General features: G+C 38.9%; 1 protein-coding gene, 1 long non-coding RNA gene and 1 pseudogene across 7 annotated transcripts in view; 2 read left to right on the forward strand and 1 right to left on the reverse strand.

Annotated features, from left to right (window-relative positions):
- PTPN21 (protein tyrosine phosphatase non-receptor type 21) overlaps positions 1 to 21,891 on the reverse strand; it is an 89,230-nt gene that overhangs the window by 33,399 nt on the left and 33,940 nt on the right. For 3 of the 5 annotated variants that reach the window (NM_007039.4, XM_005267287.4, XM_011536367.4), the window contains exons 3-8: positions 17,916 to 18,085; positions 8,747 to 8,844; positions 6,128 to 6,195; positions 5,249 to 5,319; positions 2,105 to 2,192; positions 1,607 to 1,695 (exon numbers count right to left, since the gene is read on the reverse strand). In NM_007039.4, coding sequence (NP_008970.2) covers positions 1,607 to 1,695; positions 2,105 to 2,192; positions 5,249 to 5,319; positions 6,128 to 6,195; positions 8,747 to 8,844; positions 17,916 to 18,085 — 584 coding nt within the window. Of the gene's footprint in view, positions 1 to 1,606; positions 1,696 to 2,104; positions 2,193 to 5,248; positions 5,320 to 6,127; positions 6,196 to 8,746; positions 8,845 to 13,280; positions 13,412 to 17,915; positions 18,086 to 21,891 lie in introns of those variants that run through there. The other 2 variants (XM_017020939.2, XM_011536368.3) reach the window with 2 other exon arrangements.
- On the forward strand, positions 1,691 to 16,326 carry LOC105370614 (uncharacterized). 2 transcript variants are annotated; one of them, XR_007064296.1, is made up of 3 exons: positions 1,691 to 1,855; positions 14,734 to 14,809; positions 15,813 to 16,326. It is a non-coding gene; the product is annotated as an uncharacterized LOC105370614 (long non-coding RNA). The 2 variants fall into 2 exon arrangements; XR_944123.4 differs by lacking the exon at positions 1,691 to 1,855 and having other exon boundaries at positions 14,322 to 14,809.
- On the forward strand, positions 14,322 to 14,487 carry RNU4-22P (RNA, U4 small nuclear 22, pseudogene; annotated as a pseudogene).

Raw genomic sequence — 21,891 nt, forward strand, 5'->3', positions numbered from 1 at the left:
CGAGAGAGCAACTGCCAAAGGGGAGCCACCCAGCCCAGGGCAGTGCATTCTAGGAATGGGGTTCTGCTCCCCAAGTGATGCGTACTCTCTGAGGTCATAATCACCATGGAGAATTCATGGCTCAAGAGGCAGTAAAGCAAAGGAAGTGAGGGAGGAGATGTCAGTTTAGAGAAAAAGCTCTTCAAAGGCCAAACTAGTTCTCAAGAAGAAATGGTAGGAGTGGTTTAGAAAGCTTGAGTAGTGTGTGTGTTGTGGGGCGGGCAGTGAGTAGGCGGTGGAGAGAATAAAAGCTGTTTAATACAGCGATTAAGAGCCCACGCATAAAGTGGAGGATCCAAGTTCTAGTCCTAGTTATGCCAGTTAATAACTGGGTCACCATGGACAAATCACAACTTTTCTAAGCCTCAATTATCACACGTGCAAAGTGGTGGTAATACCTACTGCTGACAGTGTTATGAAGATTACACTAAAAAAAATTCACAAAAAATGCTCAGCATAGTTTATCTGACTCATGATAAGCACTCAACAAATGGTAGACACAAAGGAACCAAAAAACAGAAGTGATAGAATATGTTTTCCTGCCTTATAAAAACAATATAAGCTTTTGGTTGGACATGAACTTTGGGTTTTCCAGATAACAGATTTTAAGGAATTAAAGGTAGGGGATTGTACAATATGGTCCAACTTACTATCTTTAAGATACAAATTAGAACACAGAATACTATAAAGGAAATTAAAATCACCTGTACTTTCATTGTTCAGAGTCAGTTACTATTAGCACATCGCTATATATTCTTTCCAACTTGCTTCACATTCCAAGATTTCCACAAATGAATAGTATCTTTTTTTATATCAGCAAAAAAAACCAACATTATAAAAAATAATTGAAATTTGCTTAGATACTGGTATTTTAGGAATTTTGGTACAAAACTAGAGTCAAAACAAAGCTCTATATTTTTCATAGGAAAGAGCCCTTCAGGCTGGGCACAGTGGGCTCACACCTGGAATCCCAGCACTGTGGGAGGCAGGCAGATAGCTTGAGCCCAAGAGTTTGAGACTAGCCTGGGCAACATGGTGAAACTGTCTCCACAAAAAATACAAAAATTAGCCAGGCATGGTGGCATTAGCCTGTAGTCCTAGCCACTCAGGAAGCTGGGATGGGAGGATCACTTCAGCCTGGGAGGTCAAGGCTGCAGTGAGTGGTGACTGTACCACTGCACTCTAGCCTGGGCAACAGAGTGAGACCTTGCCTCACAATAAATAAATTAACCAATAAATAGCCTTGGAAACCAGAGCTCAAATTAAACATTCATATCAAAGCAAAGAATGGCCTCCATATGGCACAAAAAGGGTCACACATTTTTAAGCATTTTATAATAGGCCGTCATTATAGGCATTATACTCTGGACATAGAGTTTTGAAGAAAGCGGCTTATTGAAAAGGACTGTTGCATTCAGATGGTATTTTTTTCCTAGGAAGGGAATTATTTCCATTTTTTAATGAGACCTTGGTATAGACTTGTGAACAATTTAACTGCTGTAAGTACTAAAAAATGTATCACCAACAGGAGCCATAGAAAACATACAAAAAGAGGTAAGAAAAATACCTAAATACCACAGGATGCCTTCCATTCTTGTGTTTCACAAAGATACCTTCAAGACACGCTCCAATGGATATGTCACTTCCTTGGCTATCCTACAAGGAGAAAGCAGAAGAAGAAACACCCAGGAAGCAGATGCAGAGGAACTGCTGCTAGAGTTCCCTGGACTGGTTTCCCAGATGTAGAAAGTTCCGAAGACCTACAGAGTAACTATTCAGGAAGACAAAAGTCTGAATGAGATCTATGATCTTATAGGTAAGTATAAAAATTGAAAAAGTTTGGCCCTCCTTAGGAACTCTATTTCAAGACCATTTCAAAGTATGAACCACAAAATGGGAATGTGTTTTACCACAAAACTTTGGTCACCAGGACCTCAGCTTTTAAGTTTCCAGAGTTTTGCACGTCCTCAGCCTTTGCACATAAGGACATCCTTGGATTTCCCCATGATTTTCTCAAATTTGTAAGCCTAACTTTAAAGAGCCCCAGCCGCCAAGCCACACTTACCTTAGCAGGGTAGCTCTCTTCTCCATAGCCATCCATTCTCTCTACCTCCTGCATGTACAGCATTTCAGCATCAGGAGCTGTGAGCCCTCTGCAACCCAAAAGAAGCAAGATTGTTCACAAAGCAAGCTTAAAATGGTTTAAAATAAAGCTTTTCTTAAAACCTATATGTCAATTTAGCATAAGACATTATAAACATTTCACGTTTCTAAGCATCTATAATTGGCTATATCAATCTTGCTATTTACTGAAAACCAGTATGTGCTGAATGCTGAGGGTATCACATGAGATCCTGCTCTCCATACTTAAGGCAGATGAGTGGGAAGGTGGGGGATAAAACAACTCCCTAAAAAATCTTAGGGTGAAATCTTGAACTTTTCTTAAACCACCAAGTAATTGCTTATTATCCCAAATATCAGGGCTGGGCATGGTGACTCATGCCTGTAACCGCAGCACCTTGGGAAGCCAAGGACAAAGGACCACCTGAGGCCAGCAGTTTGAGACCAGCCTGGGCAACATAGTGAGACCCTGTCACTACAAAAAAAAAAATGTTTTAAATTAGCCAGGCATGGTGGTGCACATCTATAGTCCCAGCAGCTTGGAAGGCTGAGGTGGGAAGACTGCTTGAGCCCAGGAGTTCAAGGATGCAGTGAGCTATGATCGCTCCACTGCATGCCAGTCTGGGCAACAAAAAAACAAAAAAAAACAAAAATAAAAACAACAAAATATGAGGCATTACTGAGAATTATGTGCTAAATGTCGAACGCAGGGAATAAGGGTACGAGGAGGCTACATGAAAACCCCTTTTTGCTCAGGTGAGTGCAACACTACTAGGATGGGTAGGAAGGCAGTGTGGGTAAAGGAGGAGTGCCCAAGTGCATGCAGACTTGCATCTCCAGCCTCATCTTCCGATGCTCCCCGCTGTCCTCAAGGCACCCACACTGCAGCCATCCCAAACTCTGCATCTCTTCAGATAGAATATGTTCCCTAGCCCCTCTGGGCTTTTGCACATGAGAATCCCTCTTCTTGGTGTGCCTGTGACTCACCTGTGGACCTGGCCAATCCCTAATATCCTTCAAGACTCTGTCTATGCATCATTTCCTCTGGATCACCTTCTGGGATTCTCCAATGCCGCAGCTCCATGCAGTCCCAACACATTCCGCCCATACCCCTCTAACTGCACTCATTATCTTCTTATATGTATTATAATTACTATAGTGGGTTGTCCTGCCAGCCCTCATATTGCAGGGCTGGGAATGCACTCTTAGAAGACAAGAAATTATTCTATTTATCTTTGTGTCATAGCATCCAGCACTCTTCCTCTGCTTAATGCAGAATAAGAACACTAAGCTATCTTTTAAGGAAATGCACAAATGAATAAATGGAAGTGACAAAAGGCAGGACAATGTGTGCCTGAGGGACCAATTAAGCTAGAAAAGAAATGGTTCATGTGGTTCTGCTGTCCAGCAGAAGGTAAAGCTGGGAAGGCAGGATTTAACCAACTTGTAGGAGGCCTTTAATCCCAGGGTAATGAACTTGGGCTAGTAGAAAGCATGAAAATACCCATGAGCACGTGGAAGGAGAAGGAGAGAGGTAAGAGGAAACTGATATTCTAGGGAGATTAATCTTTTGTGAGTCACTGTGTGGATTTGAGTGGAGAGAGACTAGAGGCAAAAGTTTATTTTATTTGGAAGGGGATAAGCAATAGGTTCTAATGAAACTGATCTGCTTTCAATTTCCACCTCTACCACACGTAGAGGTAACTAAATCTTTTTCTTTTTTTTTTTTTTGCTCTGTCACCAGGCTGGAGTGCAGTGGCACGATCTCAGCTCACTGCAACCTCCACCTCCCAGGTTCAAGCGAATCCCCTGCCTCAGCCTTCTGAGTAGCTGAGACTACCGGTGCATGCCACCACACCTGGCTAATTTTTTGTATTTTAGTGGAGACAGGGTTTCAACATGTTTGCCAGGATGGTCTCGATCTCCTGACCTCGTGATCTGCCCACCTCAGCCTCCCAAGTGCTGGGATTACAGGTGTGAGCCACTGCTCCCAGCCAGAGATAACAAAATCTTTTTGAGCTTGGTTTCCCCATCTGGTAAGATGGAGATAATAATGTTTATCTTAATGAGTAGTTATAAGAATTTAATGATAGAGTACAGACAGTCCTCAACTTACGATGATGGTTCAACTGAATGACTTTCAACTTTACAGTGGTACAAAGGTGATACAAATTCAGTAGGAACTGTACTTCGAGGACCCACGCAACTATTCTGTTTTTCACTTTCAGTACAGTATTCAACAAATTATATGAGATATTCAACATTATAAAATATATTACAGGCTTTGTGTTAGATGATTTTGCCCAACCGTATGCTAACATAAGTGTTCTGAGAACACGTAGGGTAGGTTAGGGTAAGCTATGATGTTCAGCAGGACTGGTGTATTAAATACATCTCGACTTAAAGAGTATTTTCAACTTACTATGGGTTTATCAGGACTTAACCCCATCACAAGTCAAGGAGCATCTATATGTGGAACTGTGTGGTAGTTGGTTTAGAATAAGACTTAGCATTATCCAGAAGAGTATTTTTTCTTACAGGCAACACAGAGATTCATCATGAAAGAACGTCAATATGTACAAGTATACAAAGGTATGCAGAAGCATAGTTCAGAGTAATAAGCACCATAGCTCTTAGCATAGCTCCCCAGGTGACAGACACAGCTTCCATAGGTATAGAGAGGGAAGTAACCCTGTACTTGCTAAGCTGTATCATAAAAGAAAACAAATCATCCTAATTTTACGTTAACCTATACAGGTTTGTTTGAGGTTATCAAACAAACCTTTACTACATGCAGTAAAAAATGGGCACCCTTCAATGACTGGCTGCTTTCAACTTCCTCAGTGTCCTCACTGGTAAAACATGGACAATAAATAAGTAATATGGGTAAGTGCTTACTTAGAACAGCACATGACACACAGTGAGTGCTATATAAATGTTGGCTACTTGTAATAGTAGTGGCAGTAATGTTCCAAATTTAGTTGGGCAAATAAATATTAATCATGTAAATTAAATATTTAATTGAATATTTCAAATTCAAGCAGACATTGGTTCTATGCTATTTCCATGTCTTATTTCTTAGAGTTACCTGTATTTCTGATGTAGTAAGGCCACTTTTTGGGTTGCTTCTTCCAATACTTTTTCATCTTGTAACCATCCCTGAAGAAAACACACAGTGGTAAGTATGTGACAATTCACCCCAATTTCTTAGAAGGAATCATGGCCATTGACTGTTAATGACTCTCGTCACTATCAGGCAAAATTATGACTATTGTTACTATATGGGAGCTTTGTTTACATAGGTAATCATCTTTCTAAGGAATTAACTGGCTTCTCACAAGAGCCAAAAAAAAAAAACTTGCCCCACCTTCTCAATTCCAGGGAAAGTTTCAGCTGAGTTATGTCAAGTTGGTGACAGTAGTTAGCCAGTCCTGAGCCCAGCAAGATAAAAACATCTTGTGCGTTCTCTGGCACTGTGTAGACACTCAGAACAGCATACCACACCTTCCTTAGTTGTTGCAATGCAGTTTCCATGTCCCTTCCATCAGTAATGACTTTATAAAAGTAGAAGGCAGTGTCTTTGTCATCTACTTTTTAAATTGCTGATGAGAAGCGACATTCCTCAATATAATTTTGTAAGGTTTCAAACCTTCAGTTAAAAGCAAAACCTGTGCATGCTTCCTGAGAAGCTGAAAATGAATCCTTCTTTTTAAACTCACAAATAGAAAACAAATGTCTCCAGGCACAGTGCAGTGACTACAGACCCTTCAGTTTCTGTGGGTTCACAAGGACCAAGATGACTACAACAGGGAAAGCAGTCACACTTGAGATGTTTATAAGAGGGAATTTTTTTTTATAATCCTATTCCTGACAGTAAGTCTATCATACGGATTTCATTTCAGGGATTATTAAGGGTATAGGAATAAACTGTTTCTTTTAAAAGGCCCAGTGTCAAAAGAAGTCTTACCACAGGAAACAAGGCAAATTTCTGAAGAAAGTCCTGGGATTCATACTGATCAAAGTCACCAAAATCCGCTATATAGAATGACAAACATTCACGTTAATTATATTTAAATTTCATTGCAAAATATGCACAACAAAATTCAATACGCAGTATATCTAGATGGTATGCTAATATTTCAGAAGTCAAATTTGTTATAGCTATATAAAGTATATTTTTAAAGTATCTTTTTAAAAGTGTTAATTAGGCAGATATGAGTCTTGGCTTGGAAAAATGCCTATGAATTAAATAAAAAAACAAGTTGCAAGCTCTATGTAATATGATCTCATTTTACAGTTAAAATGCAAACAAAACCTACCCTGTAATCATATATGCTTGCTTATGTACAGGAAAATGTCAAGGAGAAACCAAATTGTCAACAGTACTGATGACCTCTGGGGAATAGACTTAGACCACTTGAATATATTACAGCAAGATATATTTGTGTTGAAATTTTTAATATTTTTTAAAAAATTGACAATTCAGCAAAATGCTTATGAAAAAGTAATTCTTAAAGCCAAAAGTGATACTTAAGAAAATCTAAAGTACCTTGAAAAGGAATGTGGCTCCATGTGCATCAGGCATTTGTTTAAAAATGATACATGTCTCCATGCCTTCTTATAGCTGAAGGAGTTTTATTAATAATTATTCTGATTAAATTTCACTCCCAAGGCTAAATGCCAGTTATTGTTTGAAATAATGCCCCATCAGAAATCTTCCCAGCCAGGCACAGTGGCTCACACCTATAATCCCAGCACTTCAGTAAGCCAAGGAGGGAGGATAGCTTGAGCCAAAGAGTCTGAGACCAGCCTAGCAACATAGCAAGACCCTATCTCTATAAAAAATTTTAAAAATCAGCCAGGCATGGTAGCGCACACCTGTAGTCACAGCTACTTGGGAGGCTCAGGTGGGAGGATCACTTGAGCACAGTAGGTTGTGGCTGCAGTGCGCCACGATCACATCACTGCACTCAAGCCTGGGCAACAGAGTAAGACTGTCTCCAAAAAAAGGAAAATACACACATACATGTAAATACATGTATATCAGACATGTAAAAATGAAAAAAATAAACAATTCAAAAATGCTGGTGAAATGCAGAATCTTTATTTATATATGTACATTTTAAAGATGAGGTCTTGCTATGTTGCCCAGGCTGGTCTCGAACTCCTGGACTCAAGCAATCCTCCCACATTGGCCTCCCAAAGTGCTGGGATTAGAGGCGTGAGACACCGCACCCAGCCATCTTTATCTATTATGATTGATGTTATTACTGCATAATTCAGGACAACCATTTAAGAAACCAAACAAGTGGGAGTGGGGTGAGGGATAAAAGTCTATACATGGGGTACAGGGTACACTGCTCAGGTGATGGGTACAGCCAAATCTCAGAAATCACCACTAAAGAACTTATTCATGTAACCATAGCCAGCCACGGTGGCTCACATCTATAATCCCGGCACTTTGGAAGGCTGAGGCAGGTGGATCACCTGAGGTCAGGAGTTTGAGACCAGCCTGGCCAACATGGTGAAACCCCATCTTTACTAAAAATACAAAAATTAGTTGGGTCTGTGTGGTGGCAGGTATCTGTAATCCCAGGTACTCGGGAGGCTGAGGCAGGAGAATCGCTTGAACCCAGGAGGCGGAGGAGGTTGCAGTGAGCCGAGATCGTGCCACTGCACTCCAGCCTGGTCCATAGAGCGAGACTCCATCTCAAAAAAAAAAGTAACTAAATAAATAAGAAGAACTTATTCATGTAAGCAAACACCACCTGTTCCCCAAAAACCTATTGAAATAAATAAAAAGAAACCAAACATATGAAGTGTACTTAAACTGTAAGCGAATATAACCTCATCAAACTCACTGACTGGCATATCTTTCTTCTTAAAATATGACCTATTAGCAGACAAAGTCTTTGAACTAGATGAATACATAGCATAGTATTAATAAATGTATATGTATATAGTCATGTGTCAAGGATGGGAATGTGTTGAGAAAGGCATCATCAGATTTTGTCACTGTGCAAACATCAGAGTATACTTACACAAACCTAGGTGGTGCAGCCTACTCCACACCTAGGCTATATTGTATAGCCTACTACACACCTAGGCTATATTGTATAACCTATTGCTCATAGAAGCCTATACAGCATGTTACTGTACTGAATACTGTAGGCAACTGTAACACAATGGTATTTGTGTATCTAAACACAGAAAAGGTACGCTAAAAATAGTGTTATAATTTTATGGGACCACTGTCCTATATGAGGTCTTTTGTTGAACAAAATGTCATTCGGCATATGATTGTACATATGTGTGTGTATACACACATATATACATACTTCTATTTATTGTACTGTTTGCTCTGTTGACCTATAACATGATTAACTTCCAGAAGTCTCATATTTCATTGAGGTATTCCAAGTTCATTTTTTCCCAAAAGGAAGCCCCTTAGATAACAGAATATTTCACTAATATATAAACACTACTAAAGATGTATATAGATAGATAACTTAAAAATCCCTTGCTATTTTGTTGTAACACATTTTAATCTGATAGAACCATTTCATTATGAATTGATCTTATTTACCTTGAACAGCTAAGCCTGCTAGCTGAATTGCTTGTTCTAAGGTACAAGGAATACTTCCTTCCAAGATATCTTTCTTCAGTTGCAGATAATACTGATACCTATAAAAAATGTCAGTTGTATAAGGTCAATGTCAATATTATCTCATTGAGATACAATGCATTTAACCATAATTTGGTAGAGAAGCATAAACCAGTGAAATAAAACCTTAATCCCACATGGTTGTGTGTGTTTTTTTTTTTTTTTTTAGATAGGGTCTCCCTTTGTTGCCCAGGCTCGAGTGCAGTGGCATGATTACTGCTCACTGTAGCGTCAACCTTCCTAAGCTTAGGTGATCCTCCCACCTCAGCCTCCTGAGTAGCTGGGACTACAGGTGCATACCACTATGCCTGACAAATTTTTCTATTTTTTACAGAGATGGGAGTTTCACCATGTTGCCCAGGCTGTTCTCTAACTCCTGGGCTCAGGCAATCCTAGTGCTTGGATTCAAAATGTTGGGACTACGGACATGAACCACCACACAGAGCCCCTAGACAGTTTCAAACAAGGATGAGAAAGTCCTCAACCACATGACACTTACACATATTAAAGTATATGTGATGAATTACTTATCCCAGATTATAGTTATTTCAAAATTAAAACGATCCTATAAGACAATTAGTCATCTGCTTCATGCCCTGTAAAACAGTCCCCACAATTTCTTTTTAGTTGGAGAAATGGAAAGCCAGTGGCTAATCTTTACTTTAAAAACTCTGACTAGTAACTTAGTAATATAAGAGTTTGCTTACCTTGTTTGGTAGAAGTTCCCTAGCACTGGAAAGTAAAGCCAGAGAAAAATGGTTTCTGATATTTCAGACCAGGCTGATATTAAAATGTTTCTGATGAAATCCCTCAAAACAGCTGTTAAGATGCTTTCTTAATATCTGGTAATGTGGGTTTACTTCTGTTTACCACCCTGTTTGTACTTTCAATATATAGGGCATCAGTTACCAGAACAAGGTTTAGAGTCAAGTAGACCTGAACTCTCCAAATTAGTATTCTGCACGAACTTGGGCAAGTCATAATCTGGTGAATTTAAATTCTATCACCAGTAAAATGAGGGTACCATCACCCCTTCACAGGACTGAACATACTCAAATAATAATATATGTGAAGGACCAAGAGCATAGCCGGCTAACAGCAGCTCTTATCAATCACGTACTTGAAGCCACTCACTTCTCCATTTTGATAAAGCTCTAGAGTGAAGATTTACTACTTCCTTTTATTTATTTTCTCAACAGGTAATTACTGGGGTCTATTATATGTTAAGCATTATTCTAGATGCTGGGGATACCGTACTAAATGGAAATCACAGACACTCTGCCAGTGCAGTCTATGGAGCCATCTGGAATCCAAACTGTCCTCCGTATCTGGTGCCTGTGAAGTGCAACCCAGTTACAGTTCATGTTTGAATTCCTCTGACAGCCCACCCCTTTAATCATTTCATATGAGTCTTTATCATCTTATTTCAGCCACAGACATGTAAACCTCTGTTCTTTATTACCAAAGAACCTGACCAAAACACCATCCATTCAAGTAAGAAGAATTTGGATCCAGCTTTTCTCCTTCCACCTGCTAACAGCCAAACCCATGGATTTCCCTCTATAGCTAATGGGATGCTGGCAGTTCTGGGATCCACCAAAGAGAAAAACTTGAGATTTTCTATATGGCAGCTCCTTTCAGAAGCTTATCTGAGGGAGAGCGTGTTTAGGGAAGTCTGTCTATTGAACATGCTATTCACATATTCCATTCTAAATATTCTAGGACTTTTCCTTAAATCAAAAACACTAGAAAGGGCTGGGTGCAGCGGCTCATGCCTGTAATCCCAGCATTTTGGGAAGCCAAGGCGGGCGGATCACTTGAGGTCAGGAGTTGGAGACCGGACTGGCCAACATGGTGAAACCCCATCTCTACTAAAAATACAAAAATTAGCCAGGCGTGGTGGCACATGCCTGTAGTCCCAGCTACTTGGGAGGCTGAGGCAGGAGAATCGCTTGAACCCAGGAAGCAGAGGTTGCAGTGAGCTAAGATGGTGCCATTGCACTCCAGCCTGGGCATCACAGAGAGAGTCTGTCTCAAAACAAAAAACAAAAAACATGAAAAAGCAACATACTTGGACCCAATTAATGTAGCCTTCCACAAAAATATTTTTGCCTTACATTATACTGTTATGAGAATTGACTCTTCCATATTTGCTCTAACTTATTCATTTCTGGTTCAATGTCTTATATAAAAAATCACACCTCAAAGTTTCTGTTTAAATGCTATACCAGGAAAATGTATCATGCTTGCAAACAGGTATGCTTCTTTGTGTTACATAATGAATGATGGAACTCGTATTTCTTCTTTTGCTTTGGCTGCCATTAAGCTCACAGCTAAAATCCAGGCATAATCGCACTCATTACTATCCCTCTTAATTGCTTTCTCCACTATTTAATAATAGTTACCTTTAAGTGATGAAGAGCTGGAGCTCAGAGATTAAGCAACATGCTCAAATGCACAGAGCCAGACTGAGCTGGAGTTTGAATCCCCAGGTCTCAATGACCCAAAGGTCTTGTTCTTAACCACGACAAATCTACAGTTATAGATATTTCTAGTATTTTTATTCATTTAGTATGTTACATGACAGTCCACAAAACACAATGGTCGAGAGCAAGGACCCAGGAGCCAGCCTGCTTGAGTCCCAGTTCCAGTATATACTAGCAGTGTGACCTTGGGCAAGGTGTTCAACCCTTCTGTGTCTTGGTTTCCTCATCTACAAAATAGAGATAATAGCACCTACATCACAGGATTTGTTATGAGAATTAAATTAATAAAGTACTTGGGACAGTGTCTAACATACAGTAAAAAACATAAGTGGTTGTTATTATATGTTATTGTATTATCCCTCAAATACTTTAATGGAAGCAACTAAGGATGGATGAATGGATGGATGGATGGATACACAGACAGATAGATTTTTTTTTTTTTTTGAGACAGGGTCTTGCTCTATAGCCCAGGCTGGAGTGCAATGGCGTAATCAGGGCTCACTACAGCCTCAACCTCCTGGACTCAAGTGATCCTTGAGCCTCAGCCTCCTGAGTAGTTGGGACCACAGGTGTACACCACCACAGCTGGCTAAATTTTTTTTAATTTTTTGTAGAAACAGGGTCTCTCTATGTTGCCTGGGCTGGTCTCAAACTCCTGAGCTCAAGCGATCCTCCCACTTCGGCCATCCAAAGTGCTGGGATTACAAGCATGAGCTACCACACCCAGCCATAAATACGTTTTTCTTAAAGAAGTATTTACTGTAGGAGCAGATGGCCAAGAAATTACACTTCAATGACATTATCACTTTCTACTAAAGTGATTAAAAAAACCTTTTTGCTAAAATTTCTATATATTGGTGGGGCTGAAGATGGCTTATAAATATGTTATTTCAATATTTTTGCAGGCCTGCTGCGGTGGCTCATGCCTGTAATCCCAGCACTTTGGGAGGCTGAGGCAGGTGGATCACGAGGTCAGAAGGTCGAGACCATCCTAGCCAACATGGGGAAACCCCATCTCCACTAAAAAATACAAAAATTAGCCGGGCATGGTCGTGGGCACCTGTAATCCCAGCTACTTTGGAGGCTGAGGCAGAATTGCTTGAACCCAGGAGTCGGATGTTGCAGTGAGCCAAGATAGCGCCACTGCACTCCAGCCTGGCAACCAAGCAACAAGAAGAATGAAATAACAGGAAAAAAACAAAGCAGTAATAAAATGTAACATGCAGACCTGAATTCAAAACTGTCAGCCAAGGAATAAAAGAAATTGCACGTTTTGATTCAAAAGCAAGTATTCCATAAACTTGCCCGAAAGTCAAAATATGCTGATTAAATATTTTATCTAAATCTTTATGAAGTTACTGATCAACTTTCCAATATAAAATATTTCATACAATATATGACAATAATTATATAATAAATTAGGTGACCCCATTTTGCACAACAGAAATTCCAAATAATGTATGAAGAGGCAGCCTTTTTTCTTCATCTGTTTTTCTTAGACTAGTAATAGAAGGCAATGTGTAGGCATCGGCATTTTTATTTTTTAAGTTTTATTTTGGAAATTCTGAAACATATGTAGAGACATTAAGTATAGTCACCCCATCTCCTTATCATGGTGCCTCACCCATCAACCTTATGCCTACCACGTTTTCTGCATCCATCCTGTCCTTTGCCCCCTCCACCGCCAGTGTTTTACAGCAAATCCCAGACATCGTGCCACCTGTAAGTACTTCAGTACATATCCCTAAAAGGTAAGCTTTATTTTTTAAAAATGTAACTACATTTTTATCACACCCAACAAAATGAACATCTTCATAATACCCAATACCTGATTCATATGCAATTTTCATGATTGCCTCAAAAATGCATTTTTACAATTTTCTTAAATTAGAATCCAAACAAGGTCTACAGATTACATTTAATGGATGTTTCTAAATATCTCTTGCTATAAAAAAGAAAGTTTTTATTACCTTTTATTTTCATGTTATTAACAGAAATGGAGCCATTTGTCATGTAGAATTTCCTGCCTTCTGGACTTTTCTGATTGTAGTCTCATGGGGTCATTTGGCAAGTTTACATGTTCTCACATCTTTCCTGAAAACTAATCATTAGATTTAGAGCAGCACTGTCTAACAGAACATTCCGCAGTGATAGAAATTATCTATATCTGCACTGCCCAATATAGTAGCCATTAGCCACATGTGGCTATTCAGTACCTGAACTGTAGCTAGTGCAAGAAAATTTTTAATTGTATTAATTTTAATTAACTTTAGCCACATGTAGCTAACAACTACCTTACTGAACAGTGCAGACTGGAAGCTTGCTTTGATACAAGTTCATTTTAGTCATTTTCATCAGTGGTGCCTGGTACTTCCTGATGCATCACATCAGAAGAAATGGTATTTGGTTGTCCCACTTACAGTGACGCTGACATTGCCCACTGAGTTCAGATGATGCCAGCCTGTTCCCTTTACCCAAAGGTTTTAGCCAATACTGATGATTGTTACCTCTTTATATAGTCTATAAAGAAAAGATAGGATAAACTTACTGCCATTCAGAGTAATGAATTGTACTCTAGTAAGTTTCAAAGGTGAGCAATGAGGTTTTTTTTAAAGTATTATGAATTCATGAATTTTAAGATATATTTGGTATGTTTTAATCCATGCAGTTGTATTCTTTTTTTTGTTTTGTTTTGTTTGAGATGGGCTCTCACCGTCGCCCAGGCTGGAGTGCAGTAGCGTGACCTCAGCTCACTGCAACCTCCGCCTCCCAGGTTCAAGGGATTCTCCTGCCTCAGTCTCCTGAGCAGCTGGGATTACAGGCGTGCGCCACCACACTCGGCTCATTTTTGTATTTTTAGTAGAGACGGGGTTTCACCATGTTGGCTAGGCTGGTTTCAAACTCCTGACCTCAAGTGATCCACCCACCTTGGCCTCCCAAAGTGCTGGGATTATAGGCGTGAGCCACTGTGCCCAGCCCAGTTGTATTCTTTATGATGGTCAAAATTTCCAAGCTTTGTGCAGTGGTAGTATCATAGCCAGTGAGGTTTATCTGAGGCATGATTATCGACAATTGAAACAAAATGTCCTCTTTTGCAAGTAAAAACTCCAGGCACCAAAGTGTTTGCTCGCTCTGCCATGTGAGGACCCAGCCAGAAGTTCTGCAAGCCAGGAAGGGAACCCTCATGAGACCTCAACCATGCTCAGATCTCCAAACTGAGAAAATACATCAGCTACCCAGTCTATAATATTTTGTTACGGCAGCCCATGCTAAGATATATTTGCAGGTCGTTTTTGCTAGATATATAATCATTGCCTCATATTTCCTTTCCTTGAGGATGTTAAATGTTACTTTTTTGTCTGTTGGCATGAAGTGTTTTTCCAGAAGTCTGATACCAATCTTATTTTCTTAATTTTATAACAGTTTTAGTCTGGATGCCCAATTTCTGGTGACTTTGCAGAATGTGTTGGCGCTGATTGCTCTGGACTGACCATACCAGGTACACAGTATGCCTTTTCAATAGAGAGCTTCAAGTCATTTTCCTTTCAAGGAAGTTTTTAGAATGTGTTATAGCTAGAATATACAATTTGTTATATAGTTTTTGGAATTTGTTCTTTGCCAATGTTTTGCCTTAGATCATACTGTTAGAAGAATGTTTTGGCTTTTTCCTTTAGGGAATCCTATTACATCTATTTTTTATCTTGTCTTCTATACTTTTATAGTTTCTATCATTTCAAAATTTCTAATTGTTTTTGCAGCTATTTTCATATTCACCTGTTACACAGACGAATTATTCCCAAGCTTTTCTAATTCAGATTTAAATGGTTCTTTCATATCATGTTATTTTCTTAATTTTTTAAGTTCATTTTGTAGTATCAGGTGGCAGTTTTCTGCTGCTTTATGGTCATATTTTTCTGTTAAGTCTGCACTTTCTGAAGATGTATTATTCAGATTGTTGTTCTCCCCCTTTGTTTTCTTTTTTCTTTTTTTTTTTTGAGACAGAGTTTCACTCTTGTTGCCCAGGCTGGAGTGCAGCGGTGCCATCTCGGCTCGCTGCAACCTCCGCCTCCCGAGTTCAAGCAATTGTCCTGCCTCAGCCTCCCGAGTAGTTGGGATTACAGGCATGTGCCACCACACCTGACATATTTTGTATTTTTAGTAGAGACGGCGTTTCTCCATGTTGATCAGGCTGATCTCGAACTCCCGACCTTAGGTGATCTGGCCCCCTCAGCCTCCCAAAGTGCTGGGATTACAGGTGTGAGCCACCACGCCTGGCCCTCCCCCTTTGTTTTCTTCCAATATCTTTGAGTGGGTTTTTTTAGAACACAATTTTTGAGGTATAATTGGCATACGAATAAGCTGTTCAAATTTCAAGTGTACAATTTAGACACATATATATATCCATGAAACCATCACTATAAAATGAGGAACATACTGACCAACTGCAAAAGTTTCCTTGCACCCCTCATAATCTTTCTCTCCAATTCCTACCCCATTCCTAGGAAACCACTCATCTGCTTTCTGACTATGGATGTAATAGACAGAACTCTGGATATCTTGGACCAAGAGGTAACCTAGTGCATGGGAAGGATGCGCTGAGGATGCTGGAGCACTAAGAGAAAGTGCGAGCATCCTTGAAGACTCTGTGGAGCTGTCAGACAAGCTCTGCAAGGCTGACTTCTGAACTCTCACAGAAGTCAATGATATTTAGGGTTTTTGTTATATATAGCTATACTTAATCCTTACCGATACAACTTCTCTATCAGGTGCTCCTATACCTAATCGATGAGCAATCCTATTGATTGACTCTAATAGGCCCATTCTCTCTCAATCCAGCTAATGCCTTTCTGTTCAGTTCTATATTGTAAACCTATGCCTAGATTATGGCACAGGTATTCCTAAACTGGTGTCCTGCCTATAGTCTTGCCATCTCTGATCTACCTTCTATGATGGGTGATCTTTGTGAAATGTAAATTTAATGATTCCATTAAATTTGAAAATCTCTTCCTCATTGTACCATGACTTTATTGCTAATGTCTATTTTTAAAACCTCCTTAGGTAATACCTGAAACTTCCTGAAGACATGTAATCATTTTGATTATTCCCCCTGCTTTGCAAAAACTATTCCCTCTAGAACATTTCTAAAGTCAATTTAAAAGTCAGTCTCTCTACCTTTCCTGTTCAAGTTCCCCTTGCCCCACCCCTAGGAATCCACAGCTTTAATTAAAGCATTTATTATCATAGGATACTGTAACTATTTATATGAACTGCCAATTCCACCAGACTGTGAGCAGCTCCTCCAGGGTGGGATTAAAGCATATTCACCTCCCACTCTATTCAACACAATTCTTAGAGCATATCTTCAGTAAATGTTTAAATGAGTTAAAGTGATCAGTTCAGGCTTTTTCCTTCTGGCTTCCACTTTTCTCTTCAATATTTCTATCTCAGACTTTTACAGTCAGTTTGTGTTTATCCTACCACTGGATCCTACTGCTTTGACTTTCCATTCTCTCCTAATCATTAACTGGCAGACTCAAACAGCACTCCACAAACATGGGACAGTACCAGGTTCTTACTATCTGCAAGGCACTGTGTAAGATATCATTAAGTAAAGCTAAAGAAAACATGGGCTAAAACCTAGGAAAAAGATACACGGACAATCCTAATAACAGGGTATGACAATTACCATCTTAACACAAGTAGAATCAAATTCTAGGTGGTAAGCCAAAACTCATTCTATCCTGGGGTCATAGATGCTTCATGGAGGAGGTACCTTCTGAACCACAACTCAGGAGGCAAACAGGATTCCAGTAAATACATGTGAGAGAAAGATCTAGGACACAAAGATGAAAGGGCGTGCAGCATGTTTCGGGCCCTTGAAGTAGCACAGCTACTTCATTTTTGAACATATTTAACGTTCAAAAGTAACATTAAATAGGGTTAAAAAGGTCAGGTAGTGATGGGATTCACAGAACTTTGAAAGGCAGGCTCAAGAACTCAAATTTTATTCCTTTTTTCATTGTCTTCAGGGGGAAAAAGAATAAGAACACTTAGTTCCTCTATTCTGCTCCTTAATATCATCTTCCCTTTCTGCTTTTGTCCCTATTAAGTGCACTTATTGGCCAAAATTTCCTGATCTTAAACACTTCCCTCCCTCTCCTCTGTACTCCCTCCCCAACCGGTCTACAGAATATAGCTAGAGGCAGAGAATTCTAGGAGCCTTTCAGCACATTTCCTTGAGGAATGAAGACAGATTTTGTAACTAATTTTCTAAAATCTCTTCTCTCCTTTCCTTGTTACAAAAGATCAGAAACAAAACAACAAAAACATTAAAGGTAACATCACTACAAGAAGAGTTCACAGAGAGGGTAAATCCATCATTTTTCCCTTTAATTATTCCTTTGTGCCTAGTGAACCCATAAGTTACCCAACATGCAGTAAAACACTCTGACATGCCACATATGAGAATCTCTTTGTAACACCGTGGCTAAAAATGTGGGGCGAGAGGGCAAAGTTTCAAACTTATCTTCTGACTTCAACCTTAGTTTCACTTTTTACATCTCACTAGACTATTTCCTAAAAACAAACGGCATGTAATTTCTCACCTGGTAATCTCCTGCTGCAGCTGAGAAACTGAAGGCACATAAAACACCACTCCAAAATAGACGGTAGGTTCCAATGCATATTTATCCAGCTGCTTCTTCAAAGGTTTTTCCAAATCTACCCACCGGCGCTGATTTTGCTTGTTGTAGTACCAGAGGCTGAAGTAAGTGACCTGGAAAGACAGAAGGTCATTGAAGGAGGCAATAACATACAAAAGGATTTCAATGACTTCAGTCGCACTAATCCCTGACCTGTGACCAAATGACAGCAGTCTCTTATTGCCTTTCTTCTCAGAGAAGAACAACAGCAAAAACTGAAGGAAAAAAAGGAGGTAAGACCTATCTGTAACTAGCTACTCATATTCAGGAAACAGAGGCAAAAACTCAATTGCTCTTGCATATCATTTACTGAACTCTGAACCAAAAAAATACATTCACGACCTAGACACTGGAATGTAGTGGCGGCTACTCAATTTTATATGCAGATTTTAACAACAACAAAAATACAGAAGAATTTATCCTTGGTTTTTCAATTACTAAAACACTAAATTTATCATATATATGTATATATACACATACACACACATATGTATATATACATATGTGTGCGTATGTGTATATATGTGTGTATGTGTATATATACTATATATACACGTGTGTATATACTAGTGTATATACACTATATATAATGGTATATATATATGTGTACATGTGTATTTATGTGTGTATGTGTATATATAGTGTATATACACTATATATATGGTATATATATGTGTATATGTGTATATATACTATATATACGTGTATGTGTATATATACACCTGTATATATATATGATAAATTTAGTGTTTTAGTAATTGAAAAACCAAGGATAAATTCTTCTGTATTTTTGTTGTTGTTAAAATCTGCATATAAAATTGAGTAGCCCCCACTACATTCCAGTGTCTAGGTCGTGAATGTATTTTTTTGGTTCAGAGTTCAGTAAATGATATGCAAGAGCAATTGAGTTTTTGCCTCTGTTTCCTGAATATGAGTAGCTAGTTACAGATAGGTCTTACCTCCTTTTTTTCCTTCAGTTTTTGCTGTTGTTCTTCTGGGCAACAGAGTGAGCCTGGGCAACAGAGTGAGAATCTACCTCAAAAAAAAAAAAAAAAAAAAAAAAAAAAAATATATATATATATATATACACACACACATACGCACACACACACACATATATGTGTATATATACGTATATATACACATATATGTGTATAAGTGTATATATACATACACGTGTGTGTGTATGTGTGTGTGTGTATATATATATATATATATATATATATATTTTTTTTTTTTTTTTTTTTTTTTTTTTTTTTTTGAGATAGATTCTCACTCTGTTGCCCAGGCTACAGTGCAGTGGCGCAATCTCAGCTCACTGCAACCTCCGCTTCCCAGGTTCAAGTCATTCTCCTGCCTCAGCCTCCAGAGTAGCCAAGATTATAGCATGCACCACCACACCCAGCTAATTTTTTGTATTTTTAGTAGGGACAGGGTTTTACCATGTTGGTCAGGCTGGTCTCGAACTCCTGACCTCAGTTGATCCGCCCACCTCGGCCTCCCAAAGTGCTAGGATTATAGGCATGAGCCACCGCACCCAGCCTCATAATTAATATTTTTAAATAATCATAACTGGGGTTCTACCCAGTAGAATGCTGAGTAAGCAGTGTTAAACCAACTTTTCACTACTCTTAGTTTTGGTTTCTATAAAAGAAATTATTTCATGTAAGTACCATTTCTAGTATTCAGATGCAATTCCAACTCTTCTTTATTCCTTTGTCCCCAAAATTTCATTACATGCACATTTAAAACAATTATAATGCTGTGAAGGTGAATTCTCTCTCTCCCTACACACACACACATACACACACACACACACACACAGAGTGCATGAGAAAAGCTATGACTAATGCAGTAAAATAACGTTAGTGTATTACTCAGAAGTTTAAAGAAAATGCCCAGATGTCTTAGCATTTAGATCTCACTTGCTGTGAAATGAAACTGTTAAGATAAATCAATACTAGCCCTGGGCCTGGTCAACCTGAAAGGATATTAATGCACTTATGAGCTGAAATGACAGCCTCAAGCCACTGCTAATACTTGCCTCAAAATCAATCTACAGATTAAGACAATTGGAAAATCACTGCTTTGTAGTTGCACACTCCAGAATAACACTGTCCCAACAGAACTTAGTGTGATGATGGAAATTATCTACATCTGCACTGTCCAATAAAGCAGCCACTAGCCACATGTGGCTACTGAGTACTTGAAATGTGGTAGTGCCACCAAGGAGCTGTATTTTTAATATTATACAATTTTAATTGACTTAAATAGCTGCAAGTATCTAGTGGCTACTGTATTGGATAGTATAGATTTAAAGCAACAAGAAAACTGAGAAATAATAGAACATTTCTTTGACCTGCAATCCTCATTCAAGTAAAAAATAAAACTTTAATTTGCAAGGGAAAAGATTATGCAAACATGTGCTCAATAGTCATTTTATTATTTTTTAACAAGGTAAGAACTATACCTTTAAAATGAGTTCATCAAATAAATTCAACAAGAGTGAAGAATGTGCCCATTTTCCCCTATATCCACAAATCCCTAGAATACTGCTGGAATTCAATAAATTTTGTTGAATGTAAAGAAGGAATATTCTCTTGCTTCTTAGTTGCCACCCAAGTCATCACACAAGAATGGAATATTTTGAACATTTCCTATGTGCCAGGTTGTATTCCAAGAGCTGTAGAGATACCATAGATTAAATCACCATCACTAATTTATGAAGTAGGTATTTTTATCTGTGTAAAACCTCAAAGCCAGTGTTTCCCCCAGGTATTGTCCCTGGACTACCTCTACCAGAAGTACCTAGAGGGTTTCTTGGGCCCTAAAAAGCTATTAATCTCCTAGGTATTTCTTGGGTCCTTTAAAGTTTGATAACTTTGCACTACACTACACTGCTCCTCCAAAGTTATGCAAGAGAAAGTTATATAAAACCTTATCTTTGGCTGGGTGTGGTGGCACACACCTGGAATGCCAGCATTTTAGGAAGCTGAAGTGGGAAGATTTCTTGAGCCCAGGAGTTTGAGACCAATCTGGGCAACATGGCGAAACACTGTCTGTGTAAAAAATACAAAAAATTAGCCAGATGTGGTAGCGTGTGCCTGTAGTCTCATCTACTTGGCAGGCTGATCACTTGAACCCAGGAGGTAGACAGAGGCTGCAGTCAGCTAAGACTGCACCACTGCACTCCAGCCTGGGTAACAAAGTGAGACTCTGCCTTAAAAAAAAAAAAAATCCTTGACAAGCTGCATGCAAATAAAATTTTTGAAAATCCAAGCACATTGTAATATATCTGAAAGGCCAAGTCCCATTGTTAATTATATTCTGAGGTTATGACATTTTAAAATGAATTGCTTATTATCTGTAAGCATAGAATATGTATCATACATTTATAGAAAACAAGTACTGTTCTTTTCTTTTTTTAAACTGCAACTTATAGAAAACAAAAATCTGGTTTAATAGAAAGAGCTTGATGCTTAAGTCCAAAGTTCTGAGTTTGATTTCCAACAGTTATTTACTAGGAGTGAAATGGTAAAGTCAATCAATCTAATTTGGTTTTCTCAAGTGTAAAATAAAGTAATATCTCCCTCACAATCCTGTCATGAGGATTGGATACGGGAAAACTACCTAAGTACATTTTCCTATTAGAAAACCATTATATTTTATTTTTTGAGAGAGAGTTGCACTCTATCACTCAGGCGGGAGTGTACTGACATGATCACGGCTCACTGCAACTTCAAACTCCCAGGCTCAAGTGATCCTTCTGCCCCAACCTCCTAAGTAGCTAGACAACAGGTGCATGCCACCACACCAGGCTATATATATATATTTTTTTTGGTCAAGAGAGGGTCTCACTATGTTGCCCAGGCTGATCTTA

Source organism: Homo sapiens, chromosome 14, assembly GCF_000001405.40.
Source record: "Homo sapiens chromosome 14, GRCh38.p14 Primary Assembly".
In the NCBI taxonomy this organism is placed as follows: Eukaryota; Metazoa; Chordata; class Mammalia; order Primates; family Hominidae; genus Homo; species Homo sapiens.